The sequence below is a fragment of the Homo sapiens genome, chromosome 3 (genome assembly GCF_000001405.40).
Source record: "Homo sapiens chromosome 3, GRCh38.p14 Primary Assembly".
NCBI lineage: Eukaryota > Metazoa > Chordata > Mammalia > Primates > Hominidae > Homo > Homo sapiens.
This window is the reverse complement of record NC_000003.12, coordinates 45,815,110-45,840,549: the sequence shown is the minus strand read 5'-3', so window position 1 is coordinate 45,840,549 and position 25,440 is coordinate 45,815,110. Positions and strand designations below refer to the sequence as shown.

Below are 25,440 nucleotides of genomic sequence, written 5' to 3'. Positions count from 1 at the left end.
AACCATTTTAGGACTGATCATCATATCTACCTCTCATTTAGCAGATAGTAAAACTAATGTCATTGGGGTTAAGTGACTTGGTAACAGACTGTTACCAAGGTAGATAGTTGCATAGCTAGACCTAAACCTGGTTTCTAATCCAGTGCTTTGTCTATTATACCACATATCTACCTATTCCATTTCCTCTCTAATGATTTGACATAGATACATATAGTATATGTGTGGAAGTAAAGGTTTGTGAATAGCCGTTTCCTAGGCTGATGCTATTTTTCCTTTTGAACTCAGCTGTCCACTTTTACCCCCTTTCTTCATTCCAATCCATTTTAAAGGAACTTTTCTGTCATTTACCCTTCTCAGTTTGAGTAATTTTTCCTTCTTGGTCCTGGGACAGTCTTAACTTTCCTTGAAAGGAGGGAAAGGAATGAACAGATAGGAATTGGCCACCTGCTGGCACAAGGCACTATGCTAGGTGTTGTGCATTATAAGAAATGGTTCATGCCCTCATAGAGTTTACAATCTACTTGGAAGAGCAAGACCTGAAAAAAAAGATAATCAATAATACGAGGTAGTAATCAGCCTGTGACGGTACCAAAGAAGTAGCAGAGATTATATATGCTAGGTTTTGGAGGAAGGCATACCTATAGAGTTACTGAGGGCATATTGGGAGATGGCACAGAGTAGGTGAAACAGGTTAGGCCATGAAGGGTGGGTAGGAATTCAGTGATGTGGTGGAGCATGTGTGTACTGGCTGGTGAGATCCAATTGTATGCATTTCTTCTTACCTCTTCATTCAGTGACATTATATTGGTGGCTTGAAATCAGCCATGATGGAAGTATTTATGCCATGGAAATCAGCAGTGCTACAAATCAGGCCCCCCTACCTAGAAAACCTGCTGTTAAATATTTACCATCATACCACTGGGTAGGATTCAGATTCTCAAATAGGAATGGAGAGATACTTTAGGATCAGAGTAACATGAGTGAAAGTCAAGGCAGGAAATTTTAAGTCATGTTTCAGGACTGATGAGCAGACTAGTGTGGCTAAAGTAGAGTGTTCATTTAGTAGAATCCTGGGAAACAGGGTAAGAGAGTTTGGGAGGTTTTGGGAGAGCAAAGAGTGTAAATGTAATACTATAGACAGTGAATAATTATTAAGAATCTGGGCCGGGCGTGGTGGCTCACCTCTGTAATCCCAGCACTTTGGGAGGCCGAGGCAGGTGGATCACGAGGTCAGGAGATCGAGACCATCCTGGCTGACACGGTGAAACCCCGTCTCTACTAAAAATACAAGTAATGAGTCAGGCGTGGTGGTGGGCGCCTGTGGTCCCAGCTACTCGGGAGCCTGAGGCAGGAGAATGGCATGAACCCAGGAGGCGGAACTTGCAGTGAGCCGAGATTGCGCCACTGCACTCCAGCCTGGGTGAAAGAGCGAGACTCCGTCTCTAAAAAAAAAGAATCTGTATTTATGCTTTGTTTTTAGCAAATTGTGACATTGTTTTGTGATATTTCTAAATTGTGGGATATTCTTGCCCATACTAATGTGTGACTATCAGAGATAATATTGTCTCTAATGTAGGTAGTCAATTATTTTTAGTGTGTAATAGAAATCTGTCTTGTTATTCACAACTCAAGTGCATATATGACTGTAACCTGTTGTACTTGAGTACCTTAGAGATTTCCCTTTTGCTTCCCTTCAACTCTTGCTATCTCCATTCTATCCTCCAGACCTTAAAGACTTATGCCACCTAAACTGCTTTGTAAATCTCATCAGCAGCTTAATTACAAATCCAACTAACATGGCTGATGCCTTGCTCTTAGCTGACTGCTGACCTGCTCTGTTATTTGGGTGCTAGCCCTACCTCCATGGGCTTGCCTCTTAAATATTTGTCAAGCTGTCATCTGGTTTAAAGTACAGACCAGTTAGTGGTTCTTTCCAAATCAAATATACTTGTTAAAGCTGTATTTAATGGGGTAAGGGTTAAGCTGCTATAACAGAGTTGCTGTTTTTTGCTGTAAGGTTAAGTGGCTTGAAGAATACAGAAGTTTATTTCGCTCTCACTTAACAGCCATCTCACTGCTCATCTCAGTTCAGTGAGAGGGTCAGTGCCTCTCCATGAGGTAGAGACGTGGGGCCCTTTCATCTTGCGGCTCCCCCAGCCTCTAGGGCATTGATGTTGTCTGCATGATTCAGTCAAGTCGCCACCTCTTCCAGGTTTCAGAGAAACAGGGAGGGGCAGAGGTACACCCCATATCTTAAGACCAGGTCTTTGGAAGTAGACCACAACATTCATTGCTGAGAAGTAGTCAGCAGTGACTTGATTGCAAGGAGGGCAAGGAAGTGTCATCTAGGTGGGCAGCCATGCAGCCAGGAAGAAGGGAAGAATAGAATTTGATGGAGATCTAGCAGTCTCGACCACAGGATATCTTATGCATTTTCATTGTTGGCTCTTTGATCAGATCTTCAAAACTAACAATTAAATTACCTCTTTCTTTTTCAGGCAGAGTTGGGCCTAAATGAGCACCATCAAAATGAAGTTATTAATTATATGCGTTTTGCTCGTTCAAAGAGAGGCTTGAGACTCAAAACTGTAGATTCCTGCTTCCAAGACCTCAAGGAGAGCAGGTATCAGAGGAGGACTCTAAGCAAACCAAATAGGAACATGGATTCTTTCTGGTAGCCAGTATGGGGGTGCCATAGCAGAGGCCAGACAATTTCTGGGATTCATCATGATCAATTATTTGCTAAGAGCAGCTACACTAAGCCTCATGGATACAGGAAACAAAAGAAGTTGTATTGTGGTGAAAGCAATGAATCTATTGTCAGAAATGCATGTGATAATTGTAGGATAATTGTAGGATGGCAGAGTTTGAGAAGGAAGTTGCCAAGGGTTTGTGGATTAATGATTGGCTTGTTGTATTGAAGATTCCAGAACTTTAATTACTTGAGTTATTAATTAAATGGTTAGAGCTATAAGACATGGCAATTAGTGAGAAAACACTTCTGTGTTTCATACTGAATAATTAGTAGAGAGGAAAACAGCAGGAAATCATAATGCTGACTAGTACCAAAATTGTTAGTTGATTTCTAGCATGAGATGATAATGGTTGGACCGTAGCTGATTTGTAGCAAGAGATGAATGTCAAGTCAGATATAAGTGAAAAAGACCTCCAAGTGAGCTCCAGCTGCCATAAACTCATGAATGTCTCAGTATTAGAGGCCATCAGCCTTAGACCATTCAGTCCATTAAACTCATCTGGTAATCTGGTTTCCTATCCCCCAGCAGATGAAAGCAACAATTTAATTGGCGAGAACATATGTTCTATTGAAGAATATAGAAAGATTATTAATATTTTAATAAGGATTTATATTTAAAAAGTTGTGGTTTTTTGAGAATGACTAAATTCTGCTGGCTAGATGAAACATTAAAGAATTATAAAACAAATACTATTAACTTGAGTTTAACTATGATAATGCTTTAGTGTAACTGGGTCTTGCTTGATGATGTCTTTTTGGAAGTAGGGAAGAAAATAAAGCTGAGGTTGCGGTAGCTGCTCTTCATCTGCTGAGAATCTGAGGGAGAAGGGACTTTGGAGGGTAGAGGTAGGGAGAGGAGAGGACTGTGTTACTGTGATACTGTCATTGAAACTGGAAGGCACACACAGAAGCTTTTTCAAGGATTTAGCTGTTGGGCATGAATCCTTTGCCCAGAATCATTGCTGAAGATGATTGTGGGGTTTAGTCACCACCAATGTAACCATAGGCAAGTCATCTCCACTCTTCAAACCTGTGTTCCTATCTGTAAAGTTAGGGGATTGTAGAAGATGGCACCAAAGTTCTCTTCCAACCCAAGCATTCTCTATGTAAGAGTAGTTTTGTTTTTTTGTTTGTTTTTTTGAGACGGAGTCTCACTTTGTCGCCCAGGCTGGAGTGCGGTGGCATGATGTCGGCTCACTGCAACCTCCACCTTCTGGTTACAAGCGATTCTCCTGCCTCAGCCTCCTAAGTAGCTAAGATTAAGGCACGTGCCACCACACCCAGGTAATTTTTTGTATTTTTAATAGAGAAGAGTTTTTGCTGTGTTGGCCAGATTGGTCTCGAACTCCTGACCTCAAGTGATCCACCTGCCTCTGCCTCCCAAAGTGCTGGGATTACAGGCATGAGCTACCATGCCTGGCCCTGAGAGTAGATTTCTAATGCTATTGTTGATGATGATATTCATTTTTGTGGAGTGTTCAGTAGAACTTTAAGATAAGCTAGTTTTTATTATTATTATTATTTTGGGTCTCAAGAATGCAAAGAGAAGCAATATATATAATTACCATTTATTTCCCATAGACGTTTACTAACCTGTGAATAGTTCATACAGTTATTAAAATGTTAGAGAAATATTAGAAAGAAATGAGACTATGCCTTCCGGGTGACTTTTGAAATTATTAAATGTAATAAGACTGATTTCAGTGGAGTTTGAAATAAGACATTTAATACTAAAAAGTTAAAAAAGTAGATGATGGTTTTGGGAATGTGTTTGAGCATTTACTTGTATTAAAGGATGTGCACAATTTAATCATTTGAATAGATGTCAAAAATTAATTGAGTTTAAATTATTTTCAATGTTTATTAATAAAGAAGATAGTTCCCAGAGAGATTTTCACTGTAATCTTTGAATTTCTTAGATTACATGAATGTGGGTTTCTTAATTTTGCTGTATTTTGTAGATTTTTCTTGTTGTTTTTCTATAAGTTTTGGATCATGGTTGTTTTTCAGGCTGGTGGAGGACACCTTCACCATAGATGAAGTCTCTGAAGTCCTCAATGGATTACAAGCTGTGGTTCATAGTGAGGTGGAATCTGAGCTCATCAACACTGCCTATACCAATGTGTTACTTCTGCGACAGCTGTTTGCACAAGCTGAGAAGTGGTATCTTAAGCTACAGACAGACATCTCTGAACTTGAAAACCGGTAATAAAATTTGAACTTGCAACTGTGACAATAATGGCCCAAGCATAATCTTAAAAGTTAGTGAACATCTTTGGCTGCATATTTTCTTGGGGCTAGTGTGTGAGGAAATTTGGGTAGGGTAACAGCAAAGCATTGAGTCACTGAGTGATCTCTTGGGTACCACTAAGCACCCTTTTAAAAGTTCTCTGTTTCTACTGTTCCTAGGTATTACAAAGGCCATCGAGATTTATGAAATTGCTTTTCAGGCTATCATTAATTATTTCTTACAGCATTTTTGTTAGCTTGGTCAGTATTACCATCAGTCTTTATAGATTGGTCAACTAAGAAATAGAGATTATGAGACAGTTGAAAAGTCAATTCAAATATAATAAATACCATCAATTCAATCCAGTAGCATTGGAAGTTTTCTAAATAATGGAATTTAAAAGTATACATTTATTAACTTTGAAATAGGAAATATACAAAAAAGCTTATAATATGGACATCTAAGAGCTCAAATTCAAAAAATATGGTAAAATTGGTGAAGTTGAAACTCATTTTAAGAAAAAGCATGCCAGAAATCAGGAAGGACTGACCGCCAAGCCCCGTGAACTACTCTAAGCACAGTCACAGCACATCAGTTCACATGCAGAGTGTTGAACAACGCTGAGGACAACCTATGAGCTGGGGAGGAAAATCATTGAACTTCTGCCACTGTCAGTAGATGACTGGTGAGAAAACTCTGAGAAGGTGGTGCTTTAAGAAGCTTAGAAGCTGACTGCTGTTAACACTCTAAGCTTGTGTGTAGTCACTTCTCATTGGCCTTTGCAAATCTTCAGATGGCACACCCCCACTATCTGTCTTTCCTAGGAATTTGTGGTACTCTTTTTCAGTAGATACTATGGACTATTTTCATTTTTCTGAGACTACTTTATTAAGAATCTTTTTTGAACACCTACTAGCTAACAATACACATTATGTAATAAAACAGTCTCCTCATAGCACCTCAAGAATACAAAGTTGACTATAAATTTTCCTCATATTTGTATTAACATTATGGTTTATTTCTAGCAGTAGATATTGCATACCTAGTAGATACAAAATGCCAGGTACTGTGGATGATTACATTTGAGTCCATGTGGTTTAGGTTCTCAACCATTTGCAACTAACATTTTTGATATGGTGAAGTTTGGTCCATCTTGCTCTGTTCTCTCTGGCATGTAATGGGTTGGTACCAGTGATTTTACTCTTCTTGCGTGTGATATAAATCTATTTTAAATGAATAATTTTTATCTTTGCTTTCTTCTTCAAGAGAATTATTAGAACAAGTTGCAGAATTTGAAAAAGCAGAGATTACATCTTCAAACAAAAAGGTAACTTTTTGGTCATTCTAAATCCATATCTTAATAGCCAGTATTTAAAATCCTCAAGTTGCTCAAAGAATTCAGAGATCAAAACTGAGAACTCTTAAGGAAAAGCATTCAATTCAAGAGTAAAATTCAGAAATTGTCTATCATATTTTCAGGCAAAAGAAAAAATGTTTTGGAAGTAACTGTGAAAAACTGCTTTTGTCTGTGATGGCTTACACATACACATGATCCCTAAGTTCAGTCTCAATCCCACTCATAAATACTCTACTCAGAAGATTCAGAGCGCAGGCTGTAGGGTCAGCCACACCTGGGTATACATCCTGGCTCTGTCACTTCCTGGCTGTGTTACCTTGAGCAGGTTATCTGAGGTAGCTGAGCTTCATTTTACTCATCTGACAAATGGAGACAATACTAGTAGTTATCTACCTCTCTTTCTAATCATTCTCATTAATTGGAGTGGCCACTTACCATTCCACTTCACGGGCACACCGTAAATACTCCATTGTTGGATAAATACTGCTGAGATGAATCTATGTACATACACATGCAAAATACTTTCCAGTTATTCCTTTGGGTCATATTTATGGCTAAGAAATTTCTGGATCAGAGGGCATGAATTATTTTATTTTTAATATATATTACTAAACTACTATATTATTTGTGCCAAGTTATTGTTTATCTGTATTATACTTGCCTAGATCTTCATCAATATTATTGTTTTTCACAGAGTCTAAGGTTCATGTAGAAATCACTGTTTCAGCTCCCACAGGCTAAAATTCTAGTTGCTAGATGCTAGGCTCTATATCAGATCTGGCTTTGAGCTCCTTCCGTCCCTCCTTTCTTCCCTCATTTTCCTTCTATCTATATATTTTTAAAAGATACAGGGAAGATAGGTTTTATTTTTGTCTCTAACATGTATGGGGCACTGTAGGACAGGCATATCCTAGGCACTGGGAGTAACAAAGGATGAAACCAACAGAAATCTCCACACCTGTGGAACTGACATCGCAGTGAATATGTTTATATATAGTATCTTCCACTTGCAAAGTGCAAGTGTTCAATGATTATACATGCTTTATTCTGTGGTGATTTCAGTTTGGTTTCTTTATTTTGTTTCAGCCCATCTTAGATGTCACAAAGCCAAAACTTGCTCCACTTAATGAAGGTGGAACAGCAGAACTCCTAAACAAGGTAATATTATTATTTTGAGAAACGGAAAGTCTCTCATTCTGTCCTGTCATTGCCTAGGGTGGAGAAACAGAAGTGGAAGGTTTGTTTCAGGTCCTCTGAGGATAATTAGTCCATTGCAGTAGTTTTACTTGATGGTACCCCATGGGCCAGAAGAGGGCATACTTAACCTTCTAGAGAGCCTGAAGTAGCTCCTGATCACACCTTTTCAAGGTAAAGTGAAGAGCATGAAATTTTGGACAGCGTTTATTGATGGACATTTAAAGTTTGTGATCTGCGGTAACAAGGAGAAGGGTTTTTAAGTTTATAAAAATTATTTATCAATTAGCCGGGTGTGGTGGTACGTGCCTATAGTCAGAGCTACTCGGGAGGCTGAGGCAGGAGAATTGCTTGAACCCGGGAGGTAGAGGTTGCAGTGAGCTGAGATCACGCCACTGCACTCTAGCCTGGGCGACAGAGCGAGACTCCATCTCAAAAAAAAAAAAAAATTATTTATCAGCACAGGTTGAGTATCCCTTATCCTTGGGACTAGAAGTGTTTTGGATTTCAGATTTTTGAATATTTGCATTATACAGACCCCAGTTGAGCATCCCAAATCCAAAAATCTGAAATCTGAAATGCTCCAATGAGCAGTTTCTTTGAGCATCATGTCAGCACTCAGAAAGTTTCTGATGTTGAAGCATTTCAGATTTCAGCTATTTTTCATGACCCTTGTATTCTCAACATTATGCTAGATGTTGTTAGAAATAAAAAGCAGTGTAATACCTGCTCCCTTGCCCTCAAAAATGTAATAGTTTGGGTTTTTTATTGTTGTTTGTTGGTTTGTTTTTTTGAGACAGAGTCTTGCTCTGTCGCCCAGGCTGGAGTGCGGTGGCGTGATCTAGGCTCACTCCAAGCTCCACCTCCCGGGTTCACGCCATTCTCCTGCCTCAGCCTCCGAGTAGCGCCTGCCACCACGCCCGGCTAATTTTTTGTATTTTTAGTAGAGATGGGGTTTCACCATGTTAGCCAGGTTGGTCTTGATCTCCTGATCTTGTGATACGCCCGCCTCGGCCTTCCAAAGTGCTGGGATTACAGGTGTGAGCCACCGTGCCCGGCCAAAAATGTAATAGTTTTATTGGGAAAGTAGAACTGATGTTCTAGAAATAGAGACCAGAGAATATTCTCCTGTGTGCTACAGGTGTCATACTGGGTAGCAGAGAAGACTCAGTTGTGTGTGGATAACAGTAGGTGAGAACAGGCTCTTGGGTAAAGGGGTACCTAAGCTGGGCCTTGAAGGATGAAGACCAGTTAAATTGTAGAGGAAAGAGAAGTGAGTGTGTTGGGCAGGAGAACAGAACAGGCAGTGGTCAGACAGGAGGCGGCATGACTTGAAACAGAGTGCAGTGCCCTCTGACTGGGCTGATGTGTTTATTTGAGTCTACTGAAAAATAACACAGATGATTCAAATGTTTGAGCTGTATAAGAACAAAAGTGTTTGGCCTCACCTCAGTCAGAAGCATCTGTGGGCTTGAGCATGGTACTGAAGTGAAGGAGTTCTCAGGATAAGGGGCAACAGTGTGCAGTGTAGGCTGAGAATAGACCCAGGATTTGCAGGACCAGCTAGGAGAAAGTTGGCAGGGAAGCGGGTCTTTGGAAAAAAATTTGAAAACAGAAAACAGAGGACTGAAAGAGGGAAGATGTGTCTGAGAAACTGAAAGAAAAGAAACTAGATGTCTTAGATCCAAAGCTGACTCACAGATACTGAGGCTGATAGGCTGGATGAAATTGGGATATTACCAAAATATCAGTAGTACATTTTTGAGCTATTATGTAATTTAAATTTAAAAATTAGATTTTTAAGTGAAACAAGTAATAATTTCAAATATTAAAATATTTTGGTTAATATAATAAAATTTGAATTTACTCACAAAGGAAATTTTAAGACTTCAAGAAGAGAATGAGAAATTGAAGTCAAGGTTGAAGACCATTGAAATACAGGTAACTGAGAAATGTTTTGACACAATTATTGAACTGCCTACAGATTAAATACTGAAAGTGTTTTGTTTAAACTTCACTATAGGCTACAAATGCACTGGATGAAAAGTCAAAACTAGAAAAAGCACTGCAAGATTTACAGCTTGATCAAGGAAATCAAAAGGTGAAACAAGTTTTAGCTACCTTTCTCACATTTTCTAAGTAGAATGAAGTTATAAACTTAAAATTAAGTCTTAGTTACTGCTCACTGTACCCCACCCCTGCTACTCCCTGAGACAAATGCCTCTATTGTCATGTGTTGGGACATTCTTGCCCCCAAAAGGCCTGGTGAGAACCAGTGACCTTCCCTCTGTCCATCCTCTAGGGCAGAGGGGACAGTACATAGCTCACACACCTGCAGTTTCCCTGGCATGCAAGATATTCTCACATTTATTTTTTAAGTTTTTCTACAATCTTCCTGGTATGCAAGATATTCTCACTTTTTTTTTTTAAGTTTCCCCTCTCACTTTGACATCCAATTACAGTGGAGGGGAAAGAAAATGAAAAGAAAAGTTTTTAATTGGTTTATATTTGGGTTTTATTATACTGAACATTACTTAAGTTTGCCTTTGATGAGTGTGACAAAATGATTATGAATCTGCAGATGCGTCTGTACCCGCCGGCACCATAGAGTACAATGAAATCCAGTGTTGTAGTTCTTCATGCTTGTCTGAATGTAATGACTGAATGTCACTCCGCCTGCGGGAAGTCATTGTATGTACAGTCTGTCTCCTGTGGACTTTCTGTTGAGTGTGCATGCTGCAGTATGATTTCCTGTGAGCAGGACCATTTGGGTAGATATTCAGTACAGCATTGGCTTTTCTAGTGGTCATACTCTCATTGCAAATGTCTGGTAAACAAACCCAAAATCTGCTTCACTGGGCTTTTGCTAATCTTTTCTCTATGAAAAATTTCAAACATACACAAAAGTAGAGAGAATAGTATAATGAACCCCCATGCACTCTTCACTCTATTTAGCAGTTACCAATGCATGGCCAGTCTGGTTTCATTTGTACCTCTACTTTCTTCTTCCCACCAGCCATGTTTTTTTGAAGCAAATCTCAGACGTTGAACCATTTTATCTGTAGATATTTTTAAAATAGGAGGATACTTCTTATATAGCTAATGATTTTCAACCATTATATGCCAATGACAATAGATTTATAAAAACACGAATGTTCCAGAACCGCTTTATAATTTCTCCTAAGTCAAACAATTGCAAACACATGTGGCTGATGAATTTGTTTAAAAGCTTTTTGGGGCTTTGCTCCAATTTTACTTTAAGATTTTGGACACAAGAACAACCAGTGAATACGTGCTTTTATTAGTTGCAATGAAAATCTTTTTTTCAAAGACCAGATTTCAAAAATGAGGAAAGATTTTTTTTTTCTTCTGTTGAAAGTACTTTTTTTTTTTTTTTTTTTTTTTCTTTTGAGACAGGGCCTTATTCTGTTTCCCATGCTGGAGTGCGGTGGTGCAACCATGGCTCACTACAACCTTGACCTCACCGGCTCAAGCGATCCTCCCACCTCAGCCTCCCAAGTGGTTGGGACCACAGGCATGTGCCACCATGCCTGGCTAATTTTTTATATTTTTTGTAGAGACGGGGTCTTGCTCTGTTGCCCAGGCTGGTCTCAATTTCCTGGGCTCAAGTAGTCCTCCTCCCTTGGCCTCCTAAAGTATTGGAATTACAGGCGTGAGAGCCACTTGAAAGTACTAAGTATTTCTTCATCTACATATTAACCAATTGTAGACCATTTTACTGTCTTATCAGTACAAATGTTTTTTCTGTCATGAATCTTATCCAGTCAAAAACAAGATCCAGGAAGAGAGAAGATCCAGTGCCTGTCTTATGCTATAGTTGTCAAAGTATGCAAAAATTACACATATCTCATGAATATAAAAAACTTAAAATCTTAAAAATTTAGAAAACCATGTAATCAGTAATTGTGCTCTCATATTATTTCCTTGTAAATAATGACTAAAACATATGTCTATTAAGTTTTTGGTATAAATTATATTACTTTTATCATTTTTTCTATCATTTTGAAGAATTCAAACTTCTTTGAGGATTTTTTTAAATTTGGCTTTTCAAAATGAAACCTGTTTGCCATCTCAACCCTGGTACACACATCTTGGATGGAAATACCAGCAGTTCACAAATCATATTTTATGTATTTGGAATTCAGTGGCTACTGAGTGTCGGCTGTGTGCAAGACACCACGTACCCAGGGCTGACAATGGACTGGCCTGCTGGTGACTCTGAAGGGGCTGGCACTTACCTAGGCTGGCAAGGGAGGCTGGCATGCACACAAAACATACATCATTTTTTTCATCTCCTATGATGTTGAATCACCATTCTAAAACAGTTATTTTTAGAATATCAACATGAAATTACATGCATGCATTTATTTTTCATAGGATTTTATAAAGGCCCAAGACTTAAGTAACTTAGAAAACACTGTCGCTGCCTTAAAGAGTGAGTTTCAGAAGACACTTAATGACAAGACAGAAAACCAGAAGTCACTGGAGGAGAATCTGGCGACAGCCAAGCACGATCTACTCAGGGTTCAGGAGCAGCTGCACATGGCTGAAAAGGTCAGAAGACCATGTTTAAGGGATTTGTCTGTTAATGCATGATTAATGCACACAGTATAGAGGAATACATGTGGCTAAGATAAACGTTGGACAACTGCAAATTCAGATTATTTTTTCTCAAGGTATTAGCCAATATGTTCTAAAGATTAATCATTTCCGGGCACTGATATTCTTCCATCTTTGGTACTAAAATATCTGTGATAATAAGACATCTCCTCTCCCTCTATGGTGTAGTGAAATGCTCCTCTGTAGGTGGCTTGAATCCTGCCCTACATCCCACCATGTTGCTCTTCTGCTCCTTCTTCCCACAGCCTGCAGAGGGATGAGGGACTGTTTTTTTTAAGGACTTCTATACTTTTGTCATAATTTATATAAAATATGTAGAGAGCTAGATTCTTCACTTTGGGGATTAGACTCTTAAGAATATGGGAGTTGAGGCCGGGTGCAGTGGCTTGTGCCTGTAATCCCAGCACTTTGGGAGGCCAAGATGGCAGGATTGCTTGAGCCCAGGAGTTCAAGACCAGCCTGGCCAACATAGCAAGACCCCCATCTCTATAAAAAAATTAAAAATTTTTTCATATAAAAAATGGGAAAAAAGAATATGGGAGCTAAAATTTAACTAAATTAAAAATCATTTTGCTAAAATACACTACTATGGGACTTGGGAAAAAAGTGTGCTTATTTTACAGGAAAATTAGTTTAATATTTCAAATAGATTTATCATATCCAGGGCTTGAGTTATTTACCAACACTGTACTTGGGAAAATGTTACTATTTTATGGCTTCTCATTTGAAAGAATATATTTTTAAAGTTTGGATAGTCTTAGTTTTATATAAATGTGTCCTTTAAGGAAATTAGAAAATCATTAGCAAAATACTAGTAAAATTCAAGCAAAAAAAACTACATATTTTTATCGCATTTGTTATCTCTTTCCTTAACTATTTTTTTAGTAATGGGCTGACATTTTTTACTAAGCAGGAATTAGAAAAGAAATTTCAGCAAACAGCAGCTTATCGAAACATGAAAGAGATTCTTACCAAGAAGAATGACCAAATCAAAGATCTGAGGAAAAGACTGGCACAGTAAGCCACACTGATCCCGCCTTTGGATTTCTCTCTCTGGATTGATGTTTGTTCTCTGTTAAATCTAAGCTTGTTCCAGAGAGGTCAAGCCGGTGGTAGTTGCTGGATCATTTAGTCCAGAAGCCTTCATTTGAGGAAAGTGGAGGAGCTCTGGCCTGACCTTATCTATAATGCCCACCAGGGCTTCTTTTTAGGTTCATCTAGGCCTTTAGACTCACACAGGCCTACAGTAAGCTGCTCTTGGCAATGGATTCACTTAGCAGGATGTCAGACAGGAAACACAGCAAGCTCGCAGGGCAGCATTAGGTAGTTCTCTTCTCCTTGGTGGTATACTCTAAGCAGTCCAAGAACTGGTCTTACTGTTCCCCTAAATGACAGTTTAAGTTGGAGAGAATGAGATTCATGCAGATGGGTGTCATAGCCAGCTTGGCTTAGAAGTCCGTGTTCTACATAGGATTAGTATCTCTCTTAGCAGTCACATGATACCCAGTTAAGGGTATGTCCAGTTAAAAGAACTCATCGCACAGGGGGAAACCTAAAGTGGTGGCTCCCACCATGTATTTATAGTTCATTCATAGTCCTCCAGGTCCAGATGTGGTCATCAGATGTTTTGCCTGGAAACTGAGTTGACATTTTACCTTTATCAGAGTTCCAGGGGAGCAGAGCTAGAAAGGGAATTCAAGGTGAGATTTGTCCTTAGAGAAGTAGATTTGCTAGCCCTTTACTCATATAGTCGTATCAACTGTTCTTGTCAACATGATGATTGAGGTAATTATATGAAGTTATCACAGGTCTAAATGCCAAATATACAGACTTGGAGCCTTAGCAGTGATCTGGCCTATCCTCCTACCTGATGTAAAAATCCCCTCTGAGTCACCATCAAAACAAAGTTGAATGTGTCCAACTTCTACCGTAACAGTAATTTGAAGTGAGAAATATAGTGCCACTGCTTCAAGTAAACTTATTTGGTAATAACAACAACAAAAGGTATCCTGACATTGTGTTCTTAATTTATATCTCCAGATATGAACCTGAAGATTAAAACTGAAGATTTCCTCTGGAAGCTACCACATGCAAACATACAAGCAGTCTCACCTCAGGCATGTATTTTGAAAAGCATTTTGTCATATCCCCTCTCCTTATTTTTCTAATATTTAGACTTTGAATATTTAGAACTAGAGTTCCTATTTTCAGCTAGTTGAAAACAGAGAAAACCTAGTGATTCTGTCTGGTCATCCCACACACCTCTCTACTGAGTGCTCCAGAGTCTTAGCTCACATGCACTGAGAATTCTTTACAGCAAAGAAGAGATTTTTAGAGTGGGAAGAAGAGGCTTATCCTTCTGCATTAGTATAAAGAGTCTGTATTTTTAATAAATGTTAAATAAGCTAACAATGTTTGTACTTATGCATTCCCCATGGGTAAAAATAAATAATAGCATTGTTAAAGATAGTTATTACCAAAAAAAGAGAGTTATTACAAATAAATATGTCTCTTTATTTTTAAAAATGAAATCTTAATTCATTTACTCTATTTGATGATAAACTATAAATTCATTGAAAATGTGAATTCTATTATGGGTAGCCTTTTTACCAATTATAAGGAAAATTTACAGCAGTGAACATGAACATTCACTTAGCTTCCTCAGTCTCTCCATCTTAAAGATCATTTATCAGAGGAGGTTCAGCATTTTTTGCAGCATAACTTTTCATGAGTCTGTATTACTAATGGATAAGTCAAATCCATCCTGCACTTCTACAGTTTAGAAAGTATCTGGACTCAGAATAAATGTAATATTTATACTTGTTTCCAGAATGTTATTTTACATTTTATGTTCAATAAGAACACTTTTTAAAAGACGTATATTCAACATAAAATCAGCTATCAGACTTCAGATTAGACTTTATTTATGTGGGTCTATAATAATTGTATTTTCAAGAGGTTTTCACTATATTTGTATTGGCCTGGTTTTCTCAGACGATTTTGGACAAATCATTAGAAACTGGGCATCATATCCACAGTTATGTAAGGCAGTGATATACTATAAGGATAAACAAAGTCAAGTCCATAAAGCAATAATCCCTCAGAAGGAAAGTCCTTACTTTTCACATATTAATATTTAGTAATTTTTCCTGCTTCTAAAAGTGAGAGTATCACACCCTAAATGAACACTGTCTACTAAGAGACATCATTCCATTTCCACAAATGAAGATTTTATTCCAAGAAACGAGTTTACTGATTGGAGCATAGGGCTTGTTGTTATTTTTATTCAAGCTTTTAGTAATAGCCTTGAATTTATTATTTTTCTTATAGGCTTTTTGTTAAAATAGTGAAGGAACAAATGTTAAAGGGTAAGATAATTTCCCTGCAAAAGGACACAGAAGGCAGTCTTAAGAAGATGAATGGATGAGAGAAGGGAGAGAATAAAATGCAATAACGAGCCAGCATTTACTATGTATTTTCTCCTCACCTGTCTCTCCATATTTAGGTCACTTACCAGTTTCTGTGCCCTTTTGGAGCTTTTGTTGAGGGCTTCATTCTCACCCTGTATTTCTTTAGCCCTAAATTGACACTCTCTCCAAAAATCCATTCCATTGTCTGTGGACCAAGATGTTCTATGTAATTCAGAAGCAGAACTCTTGGCTAAAGGGCTAGTGTGGCCTTCAGAAACCATTCAATTATTTTCTCCCTACACCTTTGTCAGTTTGAAACCAGTGAGGAAAAAAGGTATGTTGATAAGAAACCTATATTGCTAGGTAGAATTTGTACTTGTTTTCTTGGTAGCAGTTTTGAAATATTCTGTACAGTACGTTCCTATTGTTTAATAATAAATTCAAAAATATTTCTAAAACCTTAAAACCAACTATGCCAAGCATTAAGATAAACAAATATGATGTTCTTTGACGTAAATCAACGTGATGATTCTTTCACATGTAAACACATTTTAGTGTTTCTGGTTTGTCATTTTTGTTGTTGTTGTTGTTGTTGTTATTTACTCTATACCCTTTAGCAAAATACAGTTTTAAATTTTTATTGTTTTTAGTAGTTTCCCAACTTTAAGACTTATCTAATTTAACTGAGAAAGAAAGCCTTTTTCATATATATATATATTGGATTTCTAAGGATGGTGGTTTGAGCCTTGATTAGACTTTTGATGTGCTAAGCCAGACAGGCAGTCTGTACATTGATGGCCATCACAATGCAGCTTTGGTTTAATTTAATTCAGGCCTGCTGCTGAGTTATGCACAGACTTTTTGTTGACCAAAATAAAATATAAAGGGTTTTCTTCTGTTTGACATTTGTGTTCATTTTTTCTCTTTATGTATTACATTTTAACCTATATTAAATAAATGTTTAAATGATAATTTGCTTATGTCTTATAAAACTCAGCATAAGAAAAATACTGCCCTACCTTGACTGTGTAATCTTATTTGATAAAGCCTTTGCTATTCATTATTTCCATTCTGATTAACTGAAAGAGATTTATAGAGATGCTCAAATTTTAAGCCCTTGGTGCTTTTAGATATATATTGGTTGCAAAAGTTTGGCATTAATGATTTCCCTCTGCTTATGTGTAAATGCCTATGTTCCAAAGCTTTGCCACTAGATATTCAAATCATAAATTGTCATGTAAGCCAGTCTTCCAGAAAGAAAAGCTATTTCAGCAAAATGATATTTCACATTTAGACAAAACAGTAGTATTTAGACAATAATATTTTGACAAAACCATTTTCAAAACTGCTTAGGAAAAAGGGGAAATATTATACTTAAAGGTAATGACCTCTGTCTTGAATAGAGGTGAGTGGGTTGGTGACAACTGGTTTGGAGGCTTTTGTGGGGGACTGTGGTGTCTTTTGGATTGTGTCATCAGCTCCTTCATCAAGTAAGCGTGTAGCTGTTATTGCCTATTGTAAAACATGAATTGATGTGAACAGTACTCAATCTCTTACATTATATGAAGTATAACTTCCTCTCTTTTTTGCCTATAATACATCCTTTAACTTTTACAGATTAAAAAACCACTGTTAGACAAAGCAAAATGGAACTTGGAAAATCCTTTATAGTTTTGTAAAATAACAATGGGCTTACTGTCAAATTAACTAACAGCTTATTAAATGGATTTTCATGAGCACTTGGAAAAGAAACATAACCACCAGGAGCCAGCATGGATCTCCCTAGTAAGAAATCAGGTATGGCAGGGCCAGTCGCGGTGTCTCATGACTGTAATTACAACGCTTTGGGAGTTCCAGGCAGGGGGATCGCTTGAGGCCAGTAAGTCAAAACGAGCCTGGCCAATATCGCAAGACCCCATCTCTACAAAAAATTTAAAAATTAGCTGCACATAGTGGCATGTGATCACATGATACGGCAGACTAAACTCGTTTGTCTTTTTTTTTTTTTTTTGAGACAAGAGTCTCACTCTGTTGCTCAGGCTTGAGTGCAGTGGCGTGATCTCAGCTCACTGCAAGCTTCACCTCCCAGGTTCAAGCCATTCTCCTGCCTCAGCTTCCCGAGTAGCTGGGACTACAGGCACCTGCCACCATGCCTGGCTAATTTTTTTGTATTTTTAGTAGAGACGGGGTTTCACCATATTAGCCAGGATGGTCTCGATCTCCTGACCTCATGATCCGCCCACCTTGGCCTCCCAAAGTGCTGGGATGACAGGCGTGAGCCACTGCGCCCGGCCTCATTTGTCTTTTTAAAAGCATGAGAGGTATAGTATGTCAGAATTTCAGCAAGGTGCTTGACAAAGACCTCATGATAGTCTTGTTGAAAAGAATCGTAGGTGGGTTTTCCCAAATGTAGACTATAGGATAAGGATTTGGGTGCAGGTAGTTTATTTGGGAAGTGATTTCAGGAAATCCCGCGGAAGACTGAGGAACTGAGACAGATCGAAAGAGTCACCACTATGGGCAACTGGGACCCAATCCTGCTGGGGACCCTCTGAGACATGGTACAGAAAACATCTCTGAATTATTACACTGAAGGACAAGGTAGCTGGGAATATTATCCACCACTTTCCATCCCTCACTGGTTGAGGTTAGAAATCTGAGGTATTAATTCCTTGCCATGTCCAGCCTGCCTGGATGTAGACCAAATTCCAGAGAATGCTCTCAGGCAAAGAGACTCCTCCAGAAGCCAAGCATGGGAACTGTCTGCTTGCAAACTCAGGAGTAGATGGGGAGTGACTGTTAATGGGTCCTGCATTTCATTTTGAGGGTATGAAATGTTCTGGAATTAGATAGTTGTAATAGTTGTACAACTTTGTGACTATACTAAAAATCACTGAATTGTATACTTTAAAATGATAAATTTTATACGTAAGTTATATCTCAATTAAAAGAAAAGAAAACCTCTGGGAATAGATGAAGGGGATATGTTGAAGTAATCACCAGCATCTCCAGCCATCCACTCCGCTCTACTGTACCACCTGGTGTCCCATGTTAAGTTCACTTTCTCTCGAGGATAATGGTTGGTCACAATATTTTTAAAACAATGAATACAAAAAGGAAAACATCAACGAAAAGCTTAGTGGGACAGGCTGTAGTCCTCTCTGTTGCATATTGGTCCTGAAGCCATAATTAACATTTATCATCTCCCTCTTCTACTTATTCTAGATTCCCCTCACCCTCAACCAGCACTTTTGCTGGTCAGCATGGCTGGCCTCATGAGATGACCTAGACTTTCCTTTCTTAGATGTCTGAGCCCCTGATCATTTTGCCCCTGTCCTGCTGTATTTGTGAAATTTCCCATTTATTGTTACCCCCACATATCACCAAGAGGTACCCCTACACTACAGCCTGAACCATAGAGAGGTACAAAGCCCTCCTAACTGTGTACTCAAAACTTGCAGCCTTCTGAGTGACCCAAGAAATGGTCAGAGCAATATTCCTAAGTGTTGTACATGCTGACTTCAGAATCCAGATAATACTACCTAGTGCTTACCTCTCTTAGTAGTAGAAGGTACAAAATGCAATAACTGGCTCTTGACTTGGCAGGATGTCCCAGTATTCCCTAGATTGTTGGACCTCTGACCTCTGAATCTTTGTAGGAATTACCTCCTTCTCTCTGGTGCATGTGTCATAAGGAACACTCAGATTATTTGCCAGTTCATTCCTGTTCACTAGGTCCAGTTAACATTTTGTCATCAAAGTATTGGACCAGGATGATGTTCTACAGAATGTCACGATGATCAAGGACTTCTTTGGACAGTTTTGTAACAGAGCAGGAGGGTTTATATGCTCCTGGAGCAAAACTTTGAGTGTACACTGTGTTATCTGACCCAGGTGAATTCAACCTGTTCTTGATTCTCTTTTCTGAAGGGGATTTAAAAGAATTCATTAACCAAATCTCCAGCCTCATATCAAGTGCTGACTCGAAGGGATGCTACATCCAGCACAGCAGCTGCTATTGGAGCTACTTCTTGGTTTATGTTAGTCCACTGTCATCTTCCACTTTTGCTCTGTTTTGCTTTGCAGGAACCATTCAATGGGATATTGTGGGGATCACTGTCAATACTCCTGGGATGTTGCCCCTGATTTTGACCAGGAGTGGGGAGGGGGTGGGATGGAGAGAGCATTTTGGAGCATTAAATAAGCCTTTTCTACCATTATGGCTCTTATCCCTCAGGTCAAGAAACCAATTTTGGGGTCTCTCAGTTAAGTGCACTCATCCCATTTATCCTCTCAGAAACAAGGGAGATCAGGGGATTGACCCACAGGCCTACTGGATCTGCCCTGAGATAGCCTTGGGTCAGAACTTTATAGATTGCCTATCTTATATGTCCCACTCTAACAAGAGGGCTGTGGTGGTGCTTTAGATCCCCTGGGTATGTCACTCAGGCCCTATGTTGAGTAGCTCTTGAAAGATGTGTATATTCTGCTTTCTCAGCATACAGTTACTCTGAAAAATGGCCATGGGGCTCTTTGGGAAAGATTTGAGACAGTGTGTATTATTTAAGATTGCTATAGTGCTGCAGGGCTCCTCCTCAGGAGACCCAGACTCTCCTTCAATCCATGGGCTCTGGAACTGAGAACTGACTAGGTCTGGTAACTATGAGAGATCAGGATTTTCCACTGTGGTGGCTGACATCAGTCTTTTACTCATCAGCTGTTTGGTTGGTTGGCTTGGTTTTATAACAGTAACTTCATTGACTGCCCATTCACCTCACCTCTAGGAGCGCCGTAATCTATTAGCCACTGGTCCTTGGCTCCCTGGTTGTTCTTCTGGCCTTACGGCCCATTAGGTTACTGTATTCATTTTATTCCTCTAATGTCTGAGTGCAGCCATTAGTTTTTTGTTCTGGAATCCTTCCTATCATAGGAGGCCCAGTTATGTGCCAGCATCTTCTGTTGTCAGTTCTAGCCAACAGAAGACAGCCACCACTGAGCTTCTCAACAATGTTAATGTCCCCTTACCAATGCAGTCTTTATTGTTTCAGTGAAGGAAATACCCCTGCCCATGGGTGGGCTCTCTCGCCTTATATCCATTCTAGCATGTCATCCCTCTGAGCCTTCTGAACCCTCCTCAGCACTCTTGTTAAGCAGTTGTGGAATCTCCACCTCGTTTTTGGCATACCATCATCCTCAAGCACCAAGGCCCATTGCAGCAGTGTATTAGGACTGGCTCCATGTGTTCTTACAAACATGCCAAATCCTGAGTCACAGAAGACAGTCTATGTCAATAAACTCTTCCTTATCCAACTTCTTTTCTACTTCCCACTAGGCCAGCATCCTCAAGATCCATAACCATACATGTTCTTCCAGTTTCTGCCAGTCCAGGTTCTGTTCTTTTGGGGGACTAATCCATTTCTTCTCAAAGCAGGATAATATTTCTCTGCATAGGGCATGCTGATATTCAGCCCTATTTATTGGTTTAGAAGTAATGAGTGGAAGTAGGGACCGATCCTGAGGAAGACCAAGGTTATCTTGCCAGTCTCCTTTCAAGAGAGGCCTTGGAATGGCTTCCAGGTGATAGGAGGCTACCCTCCTCTAGCAAGGGGGAGTGAGCCACTTCTTCTAGACCCAAGGGTTCAGAAGAATCTGGGATATCAAGGTCGTTGAGGGCATTTGCCCAAATGGGCCCCTCATATCTCAGAGTCACATTCCTTCCCAATCAGGGCCCTGACTTAAGCAAAGGAGACTTTCCGGGCATGTGAATTTGGTCTCCTTTGAATCTGCATCACTGCTGTAATCCAATCATGGGCCGGATTCTCAGTACATTCTGGCTTCTGCACATAGGAGATGTGGGTTCTTTTAAATAGAGACCTGGGGGCTTTCTAGTTGTCAGGGCATCTCTTCAGGTAATAGTTGGCTAATCAGAGACTGTCTTCTCTTCTTTCATTCCAATCCATACCCAGGTGAGAGTGTTGGTAACTAACCCAGTAGTGTGACAGGGTTTATCACCACTACACTTACTACTAGCAGTGGGATCCTGTTGTCATCTGGCTGGCATCAAGTCCAGTGTCTCATCCTGAGGCCACTTTCTAGGGCCATTTCTGGCACCAGATGTTTTATTTCAGCTCCCCCAAAAGCAAAACCCTGAGGCAGGGATCTTGGTTGAAGTGGGGAGGGGATCCCAGAAAGTGGGGTGAGGGTACGGAGGCATGAGGTAGGAAAGGGAAGAAAGGAGATAAAATGTGTGTTAATGAGCAGGTTAGCACTGTGGACCACCACGCTCAATCCCACTGAGACGTGAGGAAGCTGGGAATGTATCCACCAGGCCTTAATTTATCAAGATGAGGATTACTCCTGAGATGTTAACTCCTTGTTGTTGGACCTAGGCTGAACATGCTTCCGTAGCCAAGAAAGGGCTTCAGGTGAAGAGACACAGAGAACCTTCTGCAGGCCACATTCCAGGCTGGGATAAGGGGAATTGGGTGTGACATCAATAGCATCTCATCCCACAGTGAACTAAGAAGATAGAAGAGCAAATGCAAGGAATATTTGCATGCTTTCAATACTTACTCATCAAAGGGTCGACTCGACTTAGAAGAAATTACAAATCCTGCTTACCATTTTCAGCCCAGTATGCTCACGTGGCCAAGCCACAGCTGCCTTTAAATAGTAACAACTCTGAAAAAAAAAAGAACATCCCTGGACTGAGTGCCTGGAGCAGAGCCCGTCATTATGACTCAAGTATCACAGGTGCTCAATCCAAACACTTGTGAAATTGACTTCTGTTTCCTGGCCAAGTACTGCTTAAGCCATGAAAAACCTTAGTGGTTAGGTTGTAAAAGAAATCAGATATTACCTATAAAGTAATTTCCTAACACTAAAATTTCTCCATATAAATAACCCAAACTTCTTTAAAATCAGACATTAAAAACCTTTAATACAAAATATAATTTCCTGCCTTCTTAAGCAGTGAGTCATAAGCATAATCTTATCTTTTCCTGATGACTCAAAGTCATTATTACAAGTGTCAATTATTGTCCTGCACTGCAGTGCCCTCAGGGCTGCTGAGGTGTGGAGCTGTTTGCCCTTTTAATAAGTGATTTATAAGCACTGTTTTTTTAAACTGCTGCATCTACGTTTTATGGTTTATGCGTGTTCTTTCCTTTTAGGCTGGTAGCTAACATTGGTTTTGTTTGGTTTGCCAATCTCTTGCCATTTTCCAAGGTGGGCTTGGAAAATAAATGGAGCCATTTATTAGGATTGTACGTAGCTTCAGGATGAGGGCTTAAGGGACTCTGTGTGTGAAGAGCATAGGCTTTGTGGCATCTTTGCTGCTCCAAGACCTTTTTAGATTGCTTTATAAGAGAATGTTAGTCTTCCAGATTACCAGCTTTGTTTCAAATAGTTGGGGTTTCCAGGTAAATAATTTTGAATAAATGAGATTGTGAGCCTTTTATTTATTTCTCTTGCCTTATTGCACTGGCTAGGACCTCTAGTACAATGTTGAATAGAAAAGATAGCATCTTTGCTTCATGCCCAGTCTCAGGGAGAACACTTTAAATATTTCACCAATAAGAATAATGCTTGCAGGCTGGGCACAGTAGCTCACGCCTGTAATCCCAGCACTTTGGGAGGCCAAGATGGGCAAATTACCTGAAGTCAGGAGTTCAAGACCAGCCTGGTCAACATGGTAAAACTCCATCTCTACTAAAAATACAAAAAATTAGCCAGGCGTGGTGGTGCACGCCTGTAGTCCCAGCTACTCAGGACGCTGAGCAGGAGAATAGCTTGAACCTGGGAGGCAGACGTTGCAGTGAGCCGAGATCGCACCACTGCACTCCAGCCTGGGCAACAGAGCAAGACTGTTCTCAGAAAAAAAAAAAAAAAAAAAAAAGAATAATGCTTGCTATATTCGGTGTCAAATTAAGGAAGTTCTTTTTTATTCCTAGTTTGCTAGAAAAGCTTAAACTATAAATGGGTGTTGAATTTTGCCAAATGCCTTTTCTGCATCTGTTGAGATGATATAATTTTTCTCTTTTTTCTGTTAATGTTGTGAATGATATTTAATTTCTTACTGTTAAACTATCCTTAGAGGCCTGAAACATACTCCACTTGGTTGTTGCATCAGGTGCTGTAGAGAACGGTTCCATCCTGGCCCAGATGCTGTACAGGCAAGGGTTGAGCCACAGTTATTAATAGTCTAGGTCTTGGCAAAATGCCTCATGATTCTCCCAGAACAGGGAGGATGGGAAGCTTGTGAGGAGTTGCCCCGAGGCCAGCTCCTCTTGCCTCCCTGTCTTTCCTGCGAGGGTTTTGATGAGATTCTGAAGAGCTCAGAATAGACCTGCAGAATGCAAAACCACTTAGCTGCAGTCTAGGCTTGGCTCCCCAGCAACAAAGTATCCCACAACTCCTGTTGCAGTCATCCTGCCCCTTTTGAGTAGGTGTTGTCCTTTTTGGAGTGTGAGAGAAGGACCGAGGAACCTAGCACCTTTGGCTGACCCACTTCCTTTCCCTGTCTATGTAAGTAATCAACTGCCTGAAATTAAAAGCAGCTCATATCATTACCATCTGACTTGGCCTTGCCTTTGCTGCCACTGTGTGCAGATTATTCCTAATCTCCATTCAGGAATAAAGGGACTATGGCCCCAGCCACTGGAAGACCTGCTAGCAGCTGGCCCTTCATTGTCTGCCATTTGAGCACTGCCCAGCTGAAGAGAACCACCTTGCCCAAGTTTATGCTCCCTTTCAAGGTGGCTGCCTCCAGTAACAATCAATGGAGACATAACTCTCTCGCCTCAGTGTGGGACAGTGTCAAAGTGTGTCTCATCCTCAGAGCTCCCCACAGGGCTGACAGCCATGCCACTGGGCCTGCCCAGTCCTGCTGCCTTGACTTCCTTTACACCTGTTGGCCCCAAGGCTCCCTCCTGATCGACATCCTGCACACAATCTTGGCCTCAGAGTCTACTCCCCCTTATTTTGAGGTATAATTTACAAGGGTCCTGTTCTAAGACAGTGATGATATACTATCCTTTTCATATCTTGCTAGTTCCAGTTAGCCGATAAATTATTGAAGGTTTTTCCTGACTTTTTAATGATCGCCATTCTAACTGGTGTGAGATGGTATCTCATTGTGGTTTCGATTTGCATTTCTCTGATGGCCAGTGATGATGAGCATTTTTTTCATGTGTCTGTTGGCTGCATGAATGTCTTCTTTTGAAAAGTGTCTGTTCATATCCTTCACCCACTTTTTGATGGGGTTGTTTGTTTTTTCTTGCAAATTTGTTTGAGTTCTTTGTAGATTCTGGATATTAGCCCTTTGTCAGATGAGTAGATTACAAAAATTTTCTCCCATTTTGTAGGTTGCCAGTTCACTCTGATGGTAGTTTCTTTTGCTGTGCAGAAGCTCTTTAGTTTAATTAGATCCCATTTGTCAATTTTGGCTTTTGTTGCCATTGCTTTTGGTGTTTTAGTCATGAAGTCCTTGCCCATGCCTATGTCCTGAATGGTATTGCCTAGGTTTTCTTCTAGAGTTTTTATGGTTTTAGGTCTAACATTTAAGTCTTTAATCCATCTTGAATTAATTTTTGTATAAGGTGTAAGGAAGGGATCCAGTTTCAGTTTTCTACATATGGCTAGCCAGTTTTCCCAGCACCATTTATTAAATAGGGACTCCTTTCCCCATTTCTTGTTTTTGTCAGGTTTGTCAAAGATCAGATGGATGTAGATGTGTGGTATTATTTCTGAGGGCTCTGTTCTGTTCCATTGGTCTATATCTCTGTTTTGGTACCAGTACCATGCTGTTCTGGTTACTATAGCCTTGTAGTGTAGTTTGAAGTCAGGTAGTGTG

General features: G+C 39.7%; 1 protein-coding gene across 19 annotated transcripts in view, besides 1 other annotated feature; it reads left to right on the top strand.

Annotated features, from left to right (window-relative positions):
* Positions 1–17,234, top strand: part of LZTFL1 (leucine zipper transcription factor like 1) — a 92,409-nt gene extending 75,175 nt beyond the window's left edge. For 6 of the 19 annotated variants that reach the window (NM_001405920.1, NM_001276378.2, XM_047448365.1 and 3 more), the window contains 9 exons: positions 2,499–2,623; positions 4,766–4,960; positions 6,252–6,312; positions 7,429–7,500; positions 9,412–9,477; positions 9,560–9,637; positions 11,935–12,111; positions 13,091–13,194; positions 14,218–17,234. In NM_001405920.1, coding sequence (NP_001392849.1) covers positions 2,499–2,623; positions 4,766–4,960; positions 6,252–6,312; positions 7,429–7,500; positions 9,412–9,477; positions 9,560–9,637; positions 11,935–12,111; positions 13,091–13,194; positions 14,218–14,236 — 897 coding nt within the window. In that variant the 3' untranslated portion in view covers positions 14,237–17,234. The remainder of the gene's footprint in view (positions 1–2,498; positions 2,624–4,765; positions 4,961–6,251; positions 6,313–7,428; positions 7,501–9,411; positions 9,478–9,559; positions 9,638–11,934; positions 12,112–13,090; positions 13,195–14,217) is intronic. The other 13 variants (NM_001405925.1, NM_001405927.1, XM_047448366.1 and 10 more) reach the window with 6 other exon arrangements.
* Positions 21,559–22,758: an enhancer, noted in NCBI's record as "P300/CBP strongly-dependent group 1 enhancer chr3:45859284-45860483 (GRCh37/hg19 assembly coordinates)". NCBI's record gives its function as "activates an origin of replication core promoter dependent on BRD2, BRD4, P300/CBP, MED14 and CDK7 cofactors, with strong dependence on P300/CBP, by STARR-seq in HCT116 cells {active_cell/tissue: HCT116}" and the evidence as "EXISTENCE:reporter gene assay evidence [ECO:0000049][PMID:35650434]".